Raw genomic sequence first — 19,466 nt, 5'->3', positions numbered from 1 at the left:
TGGGAGATCAATGCCTACCAGAACAAGCAAGTCCCCTAGTGAAAAATTCCAATTCACCACAAAGTTATTCTTTTTGTTTTGCTAGAAACTTTCTTTTAAAATCATGTCTTTTCTAGAGAACAGACTTTTAAACACATGAAAACAGTAACTATTTTACATTCTATTATCCATGGTAAAAATATGCTGTGGACCTTGCCTGTTATGTCCAAAATTAGTTGCAAATCATGAAATCTCAAAATTGTGTGTTATATTCTAGATGTCATCTCACCAGGACAGAATACTATGAAGTTATTAGTTATGCAATCTAGATGCTATAATTAATGTAGGCTAAAATGACACGAGCATTTTTTTTAGTAGTTTCATGACAATGTTAACTTTTGTTCCATGTGGGGTCAAATTTCCATGTACCACCAAACAAGTAAAATCTTTCTCATCCTACAAGTGTTACTTTAGTGAACTTAAATGTAAAATTTTAGATTTGTTTTCAGTAAACTCCATATTGTGAAAATGTTATATAATGTTAAGATTATTATTACCATGAATATAAAAATTAGTATCTTGTCAAAGTTTAAAAAATGGGAATACACATAGAGCAATGTGATAATAAGCAATCAACTTTAAAAAACAAGTATACAAAGGGTTACCCTTAAGTAGTTTTAAATAAGAAGCAAATTTAATTCAGTATTTTTCAATTGAGAGATTTATAATGCCTGTGGCATTACAAGAAAGAATCGCTTTTTTAAAAAAAAAAAAACCTTATCCTCTAAGGGAGGTGTTGTGACACAGAACAGGTGTGAAGCATTGACTCAATAAATAAGCCTAACATATCATCATATATCAATCATTTAGAAGGCTATTTGCATTATTTTCTATTGTGATGTTGGAATGTAAGTAAAAGAAGAAAACCAGAATTTTAAGCACCAAATCCATTAAGCTATGTACATCTAGCACTCCCAACTACTGAAACTGAAAGCAGATTCAATTTAAAAAATAAGAGTGGTTGACAAAGGATGGATTTTTTCACTTACTCATTCTCCCGTATCAACAGCTTTATTTCCTACCTGTCATTTACTCAACTAAAGGTTAGATATTCTGAAAACAGGTTTGTTTACTTTACATATCAGGATTGAAGGAAAGAAACGAAATATAGTACAGTATTTATTTTCCTGAAACAGTTACCAAAATTTTAGCCTTCAAGAACTATGGTATACCAAAGAAAAGAGTAAATCCCTTGATCTCTCAGTGACCTATCTGTTGATATTTGCCTACTCCTGAGGGCTGCTTGAATACCTGAACAATTTGTTTTATCCTGGAAACCTATTTCTCTGCTATGACTGAAAAATAATGGGTATCAGTCTGAAAACAGAAAAAGCTCATATTAAATAATAGGCTTATAAAATTTAATAGAATGTAGAACTTGAATGATTCAGAAAATCAGTAACCATTCACAAAATAAATGGTTCCCAAAATTGCTCCTATTTATGGCCAAACCATAATGTAATAATGTGGCAATTTTTGTAAAGCATGTAATGCAACATAAGTTTTGACTTAAATGAAAGATAAAAGTACACCTCATAATGACTAGTCATTAATCCAGGTATTGCTTTATCAATCTAATACCCTGAAACTTACTGAGTATCTTAATTCACTAATATGAAGTTTAAATTGCCACTGAAGTATATTCTTTATTACTACATTTGTAAAACTAGAATTTACACTGTTACCTGTGGCTTTTCCAAATCAAAATTCTAACTGACAGATGGATCAAGTTTTAATCTTCAAATATTGGTGCTGATTTTCTCAAATCTTTAAAAGTTATTTGATTCCAGAAAGAAAGAAAAAATAAATAAAAGATGGTTGTGTCTGAGACCTGAGGCTATTAAGAAAGAAAACAAAACTACAGGTTGGTTAAAGGAAGTCTGTAGAATTATTTCCCTACTGGTTTTAATGAATGTTTCTGAATGACCTTTGAGTACCAGTTCATTAAGAACAAGACAGTGATTGCTACAGAATCAGGAAAGGGAATGCAAAGAGAAAGTTGCCAAATTCAAAGGCTTTTAAAGTATTTTCACTCTATGTACTTGGAAATAATTTGTTTCATAGGCATCAAGCTTTTGTCTTAATATTTACATCTGTTTTATCTCCTCATTCAAGAAAAGCTATAATATAATCAAAGTTACAGAAGAAACAGATAGCTATTAAAAATTCCAAAATTTAAATACCTCTTAAAACCACATGGTTAATAGGAACATTTTAGGTGGATAATGTAAAGAGTATTCCCATTTCACTGGTAAGGTTTGAGTCTGATTAAAAATTCTAGTTCTTTGATATACATATATTTTATACATATACATGTATATGTGTTTCTAAATTTGAATTTATTCAACTCTGGTATCCTAAGAAAAAATGTAAATCTTATTTTTGTTATTATTATTCACTAATAGTATAAAGTATGGTTCCCAGTCTGTCGGTTGTAGGCTCCTGGGCTTGAAGACCTATAAATACCAAATATTACCTTAAAAAAATGAAAAAGTATATTTTGAATATATTTATTTTTTTTCCAAATGTTAAGTGTACGCTGTTATGATTACAAAAAATAGATAATTAAAGTGTTACACAACTTGCAGTAGTATTTTCCCATAAGGTATTTTTAAAATTACACTGAAAAAATTTAACTGCAATTATGTGGGAATCACAAATTGTTTTGATTCCAAAACTAGTTCAACAATATCAAAAATGTTTAAAGTTTCTGGAATACATTTAAGAGCTATCTTAAGAAGTATGAAATATGTCTTAAAAATGAGAAAATAGTAAGCTTTTATGACAATGAAATTAGAACACTCAAAGAATGTGTAAATTTAGAAGTCATACATACTTAGAGGTTTGTCATAAACATAACTATTATCTTAAGTAAAATACAGGCAGTAGCATTGTGGTCAAATGTGCAGACCCCAAAACCAGACTCAGAGTACAAATTGCAGCTCTGCCACTTAGCTGTGTTACCTGGGGCAATGAAATCTCTTTGCAAGTCAGTTTTCTTATCTATATCAACAATCTCATACTGAATTTAGGAAATATCCCAAGAAAGGAGGCATGGACATAACGTTATTTTCCATATAATTGCACACTATAGGCTGAAATTAATATAGAATAAAACAAATAATTAAAGGATGCATAACAAGCAGTACAGAAAAGATTAAGAGAAGTGTGGGCTAAAAGGCAACTTAATGTTGTCCTTTGTGGCAGACACCCAGCTGTCATCAAATATCCATTTTCCCTATCTTCTTGACCTAGATCATTGTAAGGGTTCTATACTAATGTATAGAAACTTCAAGTGATAAAATATTAACTCTAAGTAGACTGTGAAAACTTAGATGTGAATATTGTAATTGCTAGAGCAACACACAAAACAAAGAAATTTTAAAATGCCAGTAAATGAATTAAAGTAATAAAAAATATTCCAATAATTCAAAAGAAGGCAGAAAAAGGAAAACCGAAGAATGAAAAACGGAAGCAAACAGCAAACAATAAAGTCACAGACATAAACCCAAACATATGGAAATTTATACTAAATGGTATAAACACAACTTTAAGAAACCTGATTAAGACTGTACAGCAAACAAGATACAAATTGAATGCTATCTATATGAAAGTCAACTGTAATAAAATAATACATACATGTTAAAAGAATGTAAAATGAGACCACGTGATCACCAGCAAAAGAAAAGTGGATTGATTGTGTTAAAATCTGAGGAAGTTAGATGTCAGAATACAAAAATTACCAAGAGATGTAGAGGGTGCAACAATTGATAAATGTGAATGCATCTAAGAATAGAGCTTCAACACAGATGAAGCAAAGCTGAAGAAAATGAAAGGAGAAATAGAGAAATCCACAATTACACTTGGAGACTTCATCATTTCTCTCTCAGGAACCAAAAGAATAGACCAAATAGAAATTCTTCAAGAATATCAAATACATGAATAGCAGCATAATCAACCAAAGTGACCTAAATCAGGGGTCATCAACCCCCGGGTTGTGGATCAGTACCAGATTGCAGCCTATTAAGAACTGGTCTGCACAGCAGAAGGTGAGCAGCAGACAAGCAAGCAAGCATTACTGCCTGATCAGCCGCACCGTTAGATGCGCACTCATAGAAGTGTGAACCCTACTGTGAATTGTGCGTGCAAGGTATCTACGTTGTGTGCTCCTTATGAGAATCTAATGCCTGATCTGAAGTGAAATAGTTTCATCCCGAAACCAACCCCCGCCCCACACCTGTGGAAAAATTGTCTTTCACAAAACTGGTCCCTGGTGCCAAAAAGGTTGGGGACCACTGACTAAATGACCTCTATAAAACACTGCACCCAACAACAGACTACATTCTCTTTTTTTCTTTTTTTTTTTTTTTGAGATGGAGTTTCACTTTTGTTGCCCAGGCTGGAGTGTAATGGCATGATCTCGGCTCACTGCAACCTCTGCCTCCTGGGTTCAAGCGATTCTTCTGCCTCAGTCTCCCAAGTAGCGAGGATTACAGGAATGTGCCACCACGCCCAGCTAATATATATTTTTTTTTTTTGAGACGGAATTTTGCTTTTGTTGCCCAGGCTGGAGTGCAGTGGTGCGATCTCGGCTCACTGCAAGCTCCACCTCTCGTGTTCACGCCATTCTCCTGCCTCAGCCTCCCAGGTAGCTGGGACTACAGGCGCCTGCCACCACCCCAGCTAATTTTTTTGTATTTTTTTTTTTAGTAGAGACGGGGTTTTACCATGTTAGCCAGGATGGTCTCGATCTCCTGACCTCGTGATCCGCCCGTCTAGGCCTCCCAAAGTGCTGGGATTATAGGGGTGAGCCACCGCACCTGGCCTAATTTTGTATTTTTAGTAGAGACCGGGTTTCTCCATGTTGGTTCGGCTGGTCTAAAACTCCCGACCTCAGGTGATCTGCCTGCCTCAGCCTCCCAAAGTGCTGGGATTATAGGCGTAAGCCACCGCACCCGGCCAACAGACTACCTTCTTTAAAAGAGCACACAGAACAGTCGACAAGTTAGGACAATGTCGTGGGTGATCATAAAACCCACATATTAATTTACATAAATTAATAAATGTAAAGACTAAAATCATACAAAGCATGTTTTCTTACTAGAATGATTAAATTATTAGTTAAAGACACTGAGTTACTGAAAAATTTCCAAATATTTGGAAATTACAAATCTTTTACTTCCTTGTTTACTAATTGTTTTACTTATTTTTTCATACTATTGTAAATGAGATTGTTTTCTTAATTTTTTTCAGACAGTTTGTTGTTAGTGTAAAACAAAATGCTACTGGTTTGTGTAGGTTGATTTTGTACCCTGCAACTTTATTGGGTTTATGAATTCTAGCAGTTTTGGGTGGAGTCCTTAGGATTTTCTATATATAGCTGTCCCTCAGTATCTATGAGGGATTAGTTCCAGGCAACCTGGAGGATACTAAACTCCATGGATGCTCAAGTCCTTTATATAAAATGGCATAGTATTTGCATATAACCTATGCCTATCCCATATACTTTAAATGATCGCTAGATTACTTAAAATACCTAATACATGTAAATGCTATGTAAACGTTGTTATACTATATTGTTTGATGAAGAGTGACAAGAAAAAAGTCTGTAGATATTCAGCAGGCATAACTATCCATTTTTTTCTGAGTATTTTCAATCTGTGGTTGGTTGAATCCAAAGATGCAGAACCCACAGATACAGAGGTGTAACTGTATAAGATCATGTAGTCAGCAAACAAAGATAATTTCACTTCATCCTTTCCTATTAGGATGCCTTTTATTTCTTTCTCTTGTCTAATTGCTCTGGCTAGGACTTCCAGAACTATGTTCAAAAGAAATGGTGAGAATAGGTAAGCATCTTGTATTGTTCATGATATTAGAAAAAAAGCCTTTAGCTCTTCAGTATTGAGTATGCTGTTAGCTGCAGACTTGCCATATATGGCCTCTACTGTGTGGAGGAACATTCCTTCTGTACCTAATTTGTTAGATTTTTAATCATGACAGGATGCTGAATGTTGTTAAAGGCTTTTTCTGCATCTATTGAAATGATCATGTAGTTTTTGTCCTTCATTCTGTTAATATGGTAAGTCACATTTATTGATTTGCTTATGTTGAAGCAATCTACATTCCAGGAATAAATCCCACTTGATCTACTGGTAAATGATCCTTATAATGTACTATTGACTATGGTTTGCTAGTATTTTGTTGAGAATTTTTACATCAATGATCATCAGGAATACTGGCCTATAGTTTTGTTTTGTAATGTCTTTGTCTGGCTTTGGTAAGAGGGTGATTCTGGCCTCATAAAATGAGTCTGGAGGTATTCCCTCCTCTTCAATTTTTCAGAAGAGTTTGAGGAGGATTAGTATTAGCCCTTCTTTAAACGTGTGGTAGAATTCAGCCATAAAGTCATGTGGTTCTGGGCTTTCCACTGATGACAGACTTCTACTTACTGAGTCAATCTCCTTACTAATTATTGGTCTGTTCAGATTTCCAATCTCTTGATTCAGTTTTGTTATGTTAAATGTTTCTATCCATTTTTCTAGGTTACATGATTTGTTGACATATAATTGTTCATAGTAGTTTCTTATGATCCTTTGCAAAAAAAAAAAAAAAAATCCTAAAATTCATATGGAATCACAAAGGCCCAGAATAGTCAAAATAATCTTGACCAAAAAGAACAAAGCTGGAAGCATCACACAAACAGATTATAAAATATACTGCAAAGCCATACCTAGCATCAAAACAGACACATCAACGAATGGAATAGGACAGAGAGAGCAGAAATAAATCCACATGTCTATAGTCAATTGATTTTTGATGATGATGCCAAGAACATACAATGGGGAAAGGACAGTCTCTACAATAAGTGATGACGAGCAAACTGAATATCCACATATAGAATAAAAATGGACCCTTTTCTCACCCCTTATACATGAATCAAGTCAAAATAAATTGAAGACTTAAGCAGAAGACCTGAAAATAAAACTACTAGAAGAAAACCTAAGAGAAAAAGCTCCACAGACAGAGATTTCTTGGATATAACCTCAAAAGCACAGGCAATGAAAGCAAAAATAAACCAATGGAACTGCATTAAACTAAAAAGCTTCTGCACACCAAAGAAACAATAGAGTGAAGAGAAAAACCCCAGATTGGGAGAAACATATGCAAATCATACATCTAATAAAGAGCTAATATCTAAAATATACAAGGAACTCAAACTACTCAATATCAAGAGAACACATAACCCTATTAAAAACTGGAAAGAACTTCAATACACATTTCTCAAAAGATACACAAAAGTCCAACAAATACAAGTGCTCAATATCTCTAATAATGAGAAATGCAAATTAAAACCACAATGAGATGTCACCTCACATCTGTCAGACTGGCCATCAGAAAGATGAAAGACAGTAAGTTTTGGCAAGGATGTGAAAACTAGGGAATCCTTATCCACCGTTAGTGACACTGTAAATTAGTAAAGCCATTTAAGAAAACAATATAAAGTGATATTGTAAATTAGTATAGCCATTTAAGAAAACAATGTCTAGGTTACCCAAAGAAGTAAAAACAGAATGACCATATGATTCAGCAATCCCACTACTGGGTATTGTAAAAGGTATCAGAATCAAAATGAAGTCACCTGTGTCAAACTCAAACAAAAAATATATATAAATAAAGCTAGGAGTTTACAAAGGGAGGCCACACACACACACACACACACGCACACGCCTATGATAGGAACTATAACAGACACTGTATGAAGGACTCTTAGGCACATATGCCTGTAACCACAACGTTCTAAACTGCAGATTGTTACAGGAGTCACAAGGACAGCTAGCCAGATGCACAAGAACACTTGCCTGACACAGTTTCCACTAAAGAACTGGTGTCAGCTCCTGTGATAAGCCCCGTAACCAATGTTGTCATTGTTTCAAAATAAACTACTACTTTTCTCCTTTACCTTTAAAAGCATCCCCTTGCCTGAACCTCTTTGGATATGCCTGTGGTCCCCATAGGCTGCATATCCCAGAACTGCAAATCCTCTATGCAGTCTCGAACAAACCCATTATCTTCGGAGAACCTCTCTGCCTGCTATTTAGGTTGGCAATGTATACACAAAGGATTGAAATCGGCTGGGCGCAGTGGCTCACGCCTGTAATCCCAGCACTTTGGGAGGCCTAGGCGGGCGGATCATGAGGTCAGGAGATCGAGACCATCCTGGCTAACACGGTGAAACCCCGTCTCTACTAAAACTACAAAAAATTAGCCGGGCGTGGTGGTGGGCGCCTGTAGTCCCAGCTACCGGGGAGGCTGAGGCAGGAGAATGGCGTGAACCCAGGAGGCGGGGCTTGCAGTGAGCCAAGATCGCACCACTGCACTTCAGCCTGGGCGACAGAGCGAGACTCCGTCTCAAAAAAAAAAAAAAAAAAGGATTGAAATCATTATGCGGAAGAGATGCGGAAGAGATGCCTTCACTTCCATGTTCATTGAAGCATTATTCACAATAGCCAAGCTATGGAAACAACCTGTGTCCATTGACAGAGAATGAATAAAGAAAATGTGATGTGTGTGTACACATGCAAATATATATGCACATATATATATATATATATGTACACACATCATGTTTTCTTCGTCCATTCTTCTATCAATGAACACTGGTTGTTTCCATAGCTTGGCTATTGTGAATGTACATATATGTATACACACACACACACACACAAATATAATTCAGCCATAAAAAAGAAGGAAATCTTGCCATTTGCGACAACATGGATGAACTCTGAAAACATCACGCTAAGTGAAATAAGCCAAACACAGAAGGACAAGTACTACATGATCTCACTTATATGTGGAATCTAAAAAACAGCTGAACTCCTATTAACAGAGAATAGAATGGTTGGGACCTAAGGGTTGGGAAAAGTGCGATATTAGTCAAAGGATACAAACCCTCAGCCACAAGATGAATAAGTATTAAAGACCTAATGTAGAGCATGGTGGTGACTACAGTTAATAACAATGTATATGTGTCTGTGTATATAAACATCATGTTGTACACTCTAAAGATATGCAATTTTTGTTTGTCAATCATACTTCAATAAATCTGGGGGGGAAAAGGCCAAGAAGCACATGAAAATATAGTGAAAATCACTAATCATTAGGGAAGTACAGATCACAATCACAATGCATGTCGCCTCATACCCATTAGGATACATACTATCAAAAAAGAAAAAAGAAAAGAATCAGAAATTTAAAACCTTGTTCCCACTATTGGAATGAATATAAAATGGTGCAGCTGCTGTGGAAAATAGTATGGCAGTTATTCAAAACATTAAAAATAGAAATACTATATGATCTAGCAATTTCACTTCTGAGTACATATCAAAAAATTGAAAGCAGATCTCAAATAGATATTCACACACCATGTTTGTAATACCACTATTCATAATAGCCAAGAGGTGGATACAACCTAACTGTCCATCTACAGATGAATGGATAACAAGATGTGGTATATACATATAATAAAATATTCAGCCTCAAAAAAGAAATTCTGATACATTATATAACATAAAATAATCTTGAGGACGTTATGCTAAATTAAAATAAGCCAGTTACAAAAGACACATACTGCACAATTCCACTTATATGAGGTATCCAGAGCAGTCAAATTCATAGAAACAAAGTAGAAAGGGACTGGGGGGAGGAGGTAATGCAGAGTTGTTTAATGGGTACAGATTTTCTGTTTTCCATGATGAAAAAGTTTTGGAGGCTGTGCAACAATGTGAATATACTTAATACTACTAAACTGTAAACTTAGAAACTGCTAAGATAGAAAAGAAAAATAAACAGTTAAGATGGTATCTTTTATGTTATGTGCTTTTTTACCGCAATAAAAAAATAATTTTAAAAATCCCCATAGGAGACATTATACATAAGTAAAGAGTTGATTTTAAAAAAGGAAATTGTACTTCTTCAAAACTAAAATTTTTTGCTCTGTGAACTACAGTGTTAATAAAAAGAAAAGACAAGCTACAGATTAAGAGAAGGTTTGTAATATGCTCGATAAAGGATTTTGATCCAGAATACGTAAAGAAAACAACCCATTGAAAGGGTAAAAATTGATCCAAAGAAAACATTTCACCAAAACAAAATGTTCAAATTACAAATAAGCAAATGAAGAGATGCCTGATATTGCTGGTAATAAGAGCAATGCAGATTAAAACCACAATAAGATAATACTATATAACTAACAGAATGATTAAAACTAAAGAAAAAAAAAACACTGACAATAACAAGCACTAGCAAGTATGCAGGGCACCTGGAATGCTCATATATTGTTGGTGGGAATATAGTTCAGGCAATCTGGAAAGTAATAGGGCAGTTTATATAAAATTAAGCATACAGTTAATTACCCTATGATTCAGTAAATCCACTCCTAGAATCATATTAGATATAAGAAGTTTTGTTCACATAAAAACCAGTCTGTGAATGTGTACTGCAACATTCTTCATAGCAAAAGCTGCAAACAATCTAAAATGTCCTTTATTGTTTATTATGTATAAACAAACTGTAGTGCATCTATATAGCGGAATAATACCCAATAATAAAAAAGGAACAAACTACTGATACAGTAACACAGACGAATCTCGAAAACATGTGAAATAAAAGAGGTTATACTCAAAGATGACATGTGCATGATTACATTTATATGACATTTGGGAAATGGGCAAAACTACAGGACAGATCAGTAGTTGCCAGGGGTCAGTGGTGGAAAGAAGACATCCCACCAGTGGTGGCTGCAAGAATAAATTTTTGGAGTAAATAAATTGTTTTGCATTGTGATTGTGTTGGTGGTTACCCAATTCTATGCATTTATCAAAACTGACAGAACTGAACCTGGCATCGTGTCTCACGCCTGTCATCTCAGTACTTTGGGAAGCTGAGGTGAAAGGACTGCTTGAGGCCAGGAGTTTGAAACCAGCCTCAGCAACATAGAGAGACCTCATATCTACATAAATTAAAAAATATATATATATTAGCTGGGAACTGTGGCCTGCACCTATAGTCCCTGCTACTTGGGAGACTGAGGTGGGGGATGGTTTGAGCCCAGGAGTTTGAGGTTGCAATGAGCTATGATTGCACCACTGCTCTTCAGTCTGGGCAACAGAGTAAGACCCTACCTCAAAAACAAAACAACAACAAAAAACCTCACATAACAGTTACCAGCTATGTTGGTCAAGTTTCTTAACCATCTGTGTTTCAGTTTCTCACGTGTATGATCAAGGATGGTAATAGAATTTACTTCATAAAATTAAGATTATATAATTATATATATAATTTAGAACAAAATTTAAAAACATGTTGAACTGCAAGTGCCTTTGAGACATGTAAGTAGATGGTTGAATCGGTCAGAGCAAAGATCTGAGCTGAATTAGGCACTGAATCACAGCTGACAACTGAAGCCATGGATGTGGATGAGAGAAGATGGGTCCCGTGCCCAGCCTTGACAAACTGCAACATTCTGTGGCTAGGCAGACCAGAATAAATATGTAAAGGAGTCAAGGAGGACAAAGAAATAGAAGAAAAATTAGGTATTACTGTGTCACGTAAAACAAAGAGGAATGTTTCAAAGAGGAAGGAGTGGACAATGACAGCTGATGGTGCTAACAGGTAATCGCAGAGACTGTTAGTTTTTCTCTTTAGTAATGAAACCCCTGAGTTAAAGCCAAATTTAAATCCCAGCCCCTCAAAATAGAGAATATATTTATTTTACAGCCTCTCTTGCAGCTGAATATTACCTTGTAGCTAAGATTAGCCAATGGGATGTAAATGATAGCTGCAATTTATGGGTTATGCTCTTAAACGGCAGGGATGAGCTATTACCTTATCTCCTAATTCTTGTTGACCTGAATGAGAACCCAACTAATGTGACAGTGAGATACTTTTTACCATGTGGCCTAAGGGATGGCACAGAAGTAATCTGAATTTCTGATACCATGAAACTACCATATTAGTTAATACTTGTTTGAATTACTTAGCTCTTTTGTCTTAAAGTATTGCCTTTAAGATTTTTAATTGAAAATGCAGTAGCCTCCATATTTCAGAATTCATCAGAGCAGATTTATGAAAACAGGTCTATATGAAGGATAATGTCCCACATATTTTTAAGCAAATACTTTAACAAAGGATACAACATATGACATGCATTAACAATGCAAGAACTTCAAGATGAAAAAAAGCATATAATACTTTTCTAAAGTTTGAAAATTATTAACAAGCATTTTAAACCTTGTATTTGGAGACTCTTACAGATAATTCTCCATTTTGCTGGGTTTTAGAGTGAGAGCTGAAGTACAAAATCACTGTAAGTAATAATGATGGGAGTACTAAAGAAGAAGAAGAAAAAGAACCACTGACCCAGAAATCACACACAGGTCTAGTCTGTGATGTCTGTTTTGTCAATTATTTAAGGGTTTAACCATAATCATTTTTTTTTCAGTCACTGAACAGAAACATCAGTATAATTTTAAGTGAACTCTCAGCTATAATAATTAAGTATATAAAAATCCATTCACTAGAATATTCAATGTTAACACTACACAACAGCTTTTCATATGTCTTAATGACTCACATTAAATAATAAAATTTAAAAACTCCAACTCTAACTTTAAAAAAAATTTGTGTTCTAACAACAATCTCCCCAAATTACTTCTTGGGTAGATGTTTCGGATGGTTGTTGGAGATGCTGCATTTTTTTAAGCCTGTAGAGAATTACCAAAAGCCTGACTCAAGTATCAGAAAAAGTTTAAACTAAGAAAACAAAAAGCAACAATTATTAAATCTGTTTTTATGTTTACCCTGAGATACTTCTACCAATAATTTCCCACAAACTACCAGGGAGATACTTCTTTCTCAGACACAATGGTTTTTTTCCCAACTAAATGCATTTCTGAACTTAAACGCATGAAAAGTTAATAAACGGAAGGAAAAGCAAATTCAGAGCTGTCATTTTAAAATTATATTCTTAAAGGGTTTAAGGGTATCATTTGTGGAACACAAAGAGATTTCCTTCTCAACAACATTCCAGGACATCACTCTTTCCTGCCTACCAGCAGACAAGATTATACTTGTCTGGTATGTCAGTAAAGTATTTACACAAAGACAGTTTTTCAGAATCTTCTCATTGTGAACACAAAACAGGAAATACAGTAATACCATCAGTATATGTTAAACACTGTTTAGTATAAACTGTATTTTTTCCTTAATGAGTACTAGCTTAACCTCCAGGAGGAAGAGGTGAAAATAAGCACATCTAAAAACACATTATCACTAGTTGTTTGCAGCCAGCCAAAGAAAAGGTTAAGGAAGAAAAACTCAATAAAACTTTCCAAACTACATTTTAGTTAGTGTTATACTATAGCCTCTAATAAAAACTCATTTTTCTCAAGTTCATAGGGGAAAATAAAGGTATTCCATAAAAGTTAATATTTTTGAATAAAAAATAGCCTAATTAATAACAGGCAATTTAACAGAAATACTGCTTCTGAGGCAGAAAAAACAAATTTCTATGTAAAGTGGCCATCCATCAAAAACACCAAATAATAAAGCATTTCATGATCTAAAAAAATTAATTCCTTTTATTTAAATTTATTAAAAAAAACTGTTTACCTTCCGTGGCTAAACAGTAATACAATTCTATCAGCTTACCAACTGAAGAGCTTTGAAATGTATTTACAAACTGATTATATAAAGTACAGCTTGTGTCCTAAGCAGAAAAACACAGAGAAAATTTTAATTTCCCATAAGATAGTTGAATGAACTATGGTTTGACTGCCCTCTGCTGATGTGAAATTTTTACAACTATAAAAACTGATATGATAAAACTGTGATATTATGATTTTAAAATAACTGTTTCTACTCAGATCCTGGTTTCATTATTGACTTCCTGTGAAAACTAAAGAGATTTAAATATTTAGCTTCTGTGTCTTATGTTTATTTATTTTTAGAGACAAGAGTCTCACCCTGTCACCCAGGCTACAGAGCAGTGGCAAGATCACGGATCACCATAGGCCTCAACCTCTAGGATCTAGCTAGCAATCCTCCTGCCTCAACCTCCTGAGTAGCCAGGGCTACAGCTGATTTTTCAATTTTTGTAGAGACAAGGTCTCCCAAAGTTTCCCAGGCTGGTTTCAAACTCCTAGCCTTAAGTGATCCTCCTGCCCCAGGCTCCCAAAATGTTGGGATTACAGGTGTGGGCCACTGCACTTGGCCATGTAGTCTTATTTTTAATTAACGGGCAAAATTCATGAAACAACTATTATCTGACGGCTATCAAAAATATGATTTGATCTCTGTATTAGTTCCTTCTCATGCTGCTAATAAAGACATACCCAAGGCTACTGGGTAGTTTATAAAGGAAAAAAGTTTAATTGACTCATAGTTTGGCATGGCTGGGGAGGCCTCAGGAAACTTACAATCATTGTGGAAAAGTAAGCAAACACATCCTTCTTCACATGGTGGCAGGAAGGAGAAGAATGAGAGCAAAAGGGGAAAAGCCCCTTATAAAACCTTCATATCTCATGAGAACTCACTGACTATCATGAGAACAGCACGGAGGTAAGCACCCCCATGATTCAATTACCTCCCACCAGGTCTCTCCCATGACATGTGGGGATTATGGGAACTATAATTTGAGATGAGATTTTGGTGGGGACACAGCCAAACTGTATCAATCTCTCTGACCTCAAGATACTTACATGTTATTAGAAAGACAGGAAAAACCTGGAACACATGAACTATTAGAGAACATCAAGAACTAAGCTAGGTGGTACAGAAGACAAGTAAGCTAGAGAAAAAAGATTTGTAGAGCCAATTTAGTAAAAACTAAACAAAACCTCAAAAATAAAAAATTCATGGAAAAGGCTGTTAAGACAGGCAGTCAAGGAAAAGTAATGAGCATGGTTTTAGATGAAAGAGGAGGAGACAAAATAAGCAAAAGCCTGGAGAAAATAATGAATGTATAATAGTACGTGCATATCACATGACTACCAGAAGACATAATTGCCAAGATAAAAGGTAAATGTTCAGTGAAAACAGAAAATACTATAATGGTAAGATGCTGCATGGGGTATGGGCAACTTTTGCAAAGTGAAAAAGCCAGAATGAAGAGCTGGACTTGATGAGGCAAACAAGGAGTCCCTGTATGTTCCTTAACAGTATATCACTCCTTTAGGAAGAATACTATAAAACAGAATGAATATGAAATGGTGGAGAAAGAGACTGAAGGCAGAGAAACGAGTCAAGAGGCAATGGCAGTAATAAAGGAAATAACTCAACCAGAAGAGTAATGGTAATAGAGCAGAAAAAAGAAATTGAGATAAAATAATTGAGATTTCAAATTTTGAATTATAAAACAAAACCGGAGGCTGGACTGGATTCAGATTTTTGTTTAAATATTTGCCATATTAAGGTGATTATTAAATTCCACTGAAATAAAAGAGTACTAGACTCAGAGTCAGCAGAAGGGAAAAGTGTCATGTCATCAAAGCTAATAGGGTACAGGGTTTCAAGATACAGGTACTCAGCAGGATAAAATTTATGGAATTGAACACAGTAAGAAAGGAAACCATTAAATTTTGTTCAGTAGTCACTGGTGACTTTCACAAGTTCACTTTTAATATATTTGGTCTGTGAGGAGAAACTAGGGAGCTAAAATTTTTAAAATTGAGATGAGCTACAGAAACTAGATGGAACAATTAACTTTAGGCAAAAAATGTCCTTCTCTGACAGTGTAGGAAAGGAGCAGCAGATAATAATAGAGCCAAGTTATGTCTTGTTAATGATGGGGATACATAAGGAAGTTCATGGCAAATGGTCTTAATTATCTCTGTAAATCAGTTTCCAAGCTCATCTGGAAGCCCTGAAAGAAGAATGATAAATTAATATTTGAGAACAATTTGATACTGTCTTTCTAGCTAGAAGTCAAATTTCTACTGGAGATGTCCAGTCTCAAGAGATGGCTCCATCTAGACACGACTTCTCATTTTTCTGTACGTGTCTAGAAAAATCTATGTACATTTCATAAAAAATTTCAAAGCTGACCCATTGTTTCCTATACATACAAGTATAGACTTTCCATACTTTGTTTATGTGAACACATCTGGAATAAAGCATCCAACTCAAGAGCAGGCCATTTTCATATACCCAAGGTAAAGGTGTTCGTAAGAACTCATGGAAAAGTAATATGTTTCCTGGTGATTGTTTTAGAATCGCCAAACAAAACCAGAGAAATAATAATTTCTTAATTTTATGTTACATTTTCTTTGTAAAATAATTTCTGTCAAAAGAAGTATAATACTCGAAGTTAGATTTCAATTCATTCATTCACTTACAGAGCAAATCATTTGGAATGCCTCTGACCCAAGTTAACTATTTTGTGACACTGTAATTTCAGTTTTAAAAAACTTCATAATAAAGAAATTTCCTCTTAAAGTTCATATTCACCAAATAATGAAATACATGTCAGGTATGCAGTGGTCCAATAAGAACATGGTTTTTTTTGTTGTTGTTTTTTTAATACTTTAAGTTCCAGGGTACATGTGCACAACGTGCAGGTTTGTTACACATGTATACATGTGCCATGTTGGTGTGCTATACCCATTAACTCGTCATTTACATTACGTATATCTCCTAATGCTATCCCTCCCCTCTCCCCACACCCCACAACAGGCCCTGGTATGTGATGTTCCCCTTCCTGTGTTCAAGTGTTCTCATTGTTCAATTCCCACCTATGAGTTAGAACATGAGGTGTTTGGTTTTTTGTCCTTGCAATAGCTTGCTGAGAATGTTGGTTTCCAGTTTTATCCATGTCCCTACAAAGGACATGAACTCATCATTTTTTATGGCTGCATAGTATTCCATGGTGTATATGTGCCACATTTTCTTAATCCAGTCTATCACTGATGGACATTTGGGTTGGTTCCAAGTCTTTGCTATTGTGAACAGTGCTGCAATAAACATACGTGTGCATGTGTCTTTATAGCAGCATGATTTATAATCGTTTGGGTATATACCCAGTAATGGAATGGCTGGGTCAAATGGCATTTCTAGTTCTAGATCCTTGAGGAATTGCCACACTGTCTTCCACAATGGTTGAACTAGTTTACAGTCCCAACAACAGTGTAAAAGTGTTCCTATTTCTCCACATCCTCTCCAGCACCTGTTGTTTCCTGACTTTTTTTTTTTTTTTTTTTTTTTTTGAGACGGAGTTTCACTCTGTCGCCCAGGCTGGAGTGCAGTGGCGCGATCTCGACTCACTGCAAGCTCCGCCTCCCGGGTTCACGCCATTCTCCTGCCTCAGCCTCCCGTGTAGCTGGGACTACAGGCGCGCGCCACCATGCCCGGCTAATTTTTGTATTTTTTTTTTTAGTAGAGACGGGGTTTCACCGTGTTAGCCAGGATGGTCTCGATCTCCTGACCTCGTGATCCACCCGTCTCGGCCTCCCAAAGTGCTGGGATTACAGGCGTGAGCCACCGCGCCCGGCCGTTTCCTGACTTTTTAATGATCGCCATTCTAACTGGTGTGAGATGATATCTCATTGTGGTTTTGATTTGCATTTCTCTGATGGCCAGTGATGATACTTTTATTGCAGAGTATACCAGATATTTTGAGGTAAGCCCTGTTCTTCTTCATGACTACACATTCTGAATGTTACAAAAAAATTGATATGAGATGTTATCACTAATATTTCCTAGAAAAACATAAAAGATCATCAAGAACTTGTATTTGTAAAATAATTAAAGTGGTAAAGTTAAAAGATTAAAGTGCTACACTGACTACATGTCTAACTTAATAAACCAAACTAAGTTCTCTCTAAAGTTAAATAGGCAGGAACTTGATAACATCTTTTTCCTTTTCAAATGAAAAACATTATATGATATTATTAAATAAAATTTCAGAAAAAAAAGCAGCAAGACTTATCAAGAATTTAATCACTATTTGACTACCAGTGTTGGTTGCCTGTGGATCTCCAACCATTGTTTTATGCTCTGAATATTATCCTCTAGTCTCTTATATGAACACATTTTTATAGCAGTAGTTATATTTTATGATTTTTAAACAGCTTGTGCAATTAAATGTCAGTTTTCCACTTTCATACTAAAGTAAAATAGATTTTCTTGAGGCAACTGCCTTTTGAAAAACAATAATAAAAGTTCCTCTGACAAAAGCTTTCCCTGCAAAAATACAAAGTTAAAAGGTCAATTTTCAGAAAGGAAAATTGATAAAATAATGGAAAACACAATTTTTAATCTAAAATACAAAGCACATTTTTATCTACACTGCAAGTAGGATAAACACATGTGGATAAAGAGCAGATGTGGATTTCCAAATACTATCCACAACCTAATATGCTGTCAAAAAAAAAAAACAAAAAAACAGATGACATGGCCAAAAAAAAAAGTAGTTTTCTATTCCATTTATTAAAGGAGATTAGTATAAAGGCAAAAAGATAGCCCTATGAATAGAAAGAACAGTTTATCAATACACTGTCAATTTCTGGTATTTTCCTTCATTAATTACCACTGCATTAGAAAACAAAAGTAATGAACAGTCCCTGACTTACAATGATTTGACTTTGGAGTTTTCAGCTTTATGATAGTGTGAAAGTGATACATGTTCAGAAGAAACCTTACTTTGAGTACCCATACAACCATTCTGTTTTTCACTTTCAGTACAGTATTCAATTAATTACATAATATATTCAATAGTTTATTATAAAACAGGTTTTATGTTAGGCTATTTTGCCCAACTGAAGGCTAATGTAAGTGTTGAGCACATATAAGGTAAGCTACGCTAAATTGTGATGTTTGGTAGGTTAGGTGTTTTAAATCCATTTTTGACTTATGATATTTTCAACTTAAGATACCTTTAACAGGAAGGAACTCCATTGTAAGTTGAGGAGTATCTGTATATCTGGGGAGAGAACAGTTAAAATAAATTTAAGTATCTCAGAACAAATCTATCTCTTTCTCATCAACATAACTGATTATCTAAATATTATCCTAGATAGCAAAACAGGTAAGTTTTGAATTTACATATTGAAACTACAGGGTGATATGTGTAAATCGGTGAGGCAGCAAAACAACAAATAATCAAACAAAATCCAGCAGGGAAATTGGGAGAGTGCAATGAGGGCTGGGTCAGGGTTTCAAGACATAAGGTGATAATATCCTTGTGACAAAGCTAATTTAAAATAAAAAGTCAAATCTGCCCAGACAAAGTTTCTGAACAATCAATCTTGAATACACTCATCTTTTTATAAGTTAAAAGGAAAAGGTTCATTATACTTCAAGAGGAAACAAAAAGGTCTATGGAATTTGACTCAAAATAGTACATTTGGCCAAGAAAGTTACAGAACAAAATA

General features: G+C 35.0%; 1 protein-coding gene across 8 annotated transcripts in view; it reads right to left on the bottom strand.

Annotated features, from left to right (window-relative positions):
• Positions 1-19,466, bottom strand: part of AFG2A (AAA ATPase AFG2A) — a 396,356-nt gene that overhangs the window by 178,182 nt on the left and 198,708 nt on the right. Inside the window, exon 15 of one of the 8 annotated variants that reach the window (XM_047449696.1) lies at positions 18,969-19,015. The exons of the other annotated variants lie outside the window; for them this stretch is intronic. Coding sequence (XP_047305652.1) covers positions 18,971-19,015 — 45 coding nt within the window. The 3' untranslated portion in view covers positions 18,969-18,970. The remainder of the gene's footprint in view (positions 1-18,968; positions 19,016-19,466) is intronic. 8 annotated transcript variants of the gene reach the window in all.

The sequence above is a fragment of the Homo sapiens genome, chromosome 4 (genome assembly GCF_000001405.40).
Source record: "Homo sapiens chromosome 4, GRCh38.p14 Primary Assembly".
Lineage (NCBI taxonomy): Eukaryota > Metazoa > Chordata > Mammalia > Primates > Hominidae > Homo > Homo sapiens.
Note: the sequence above shows the minus strand (reverse complement) of the source record. Positions and strands in the feature narration are given on the sequence as shown.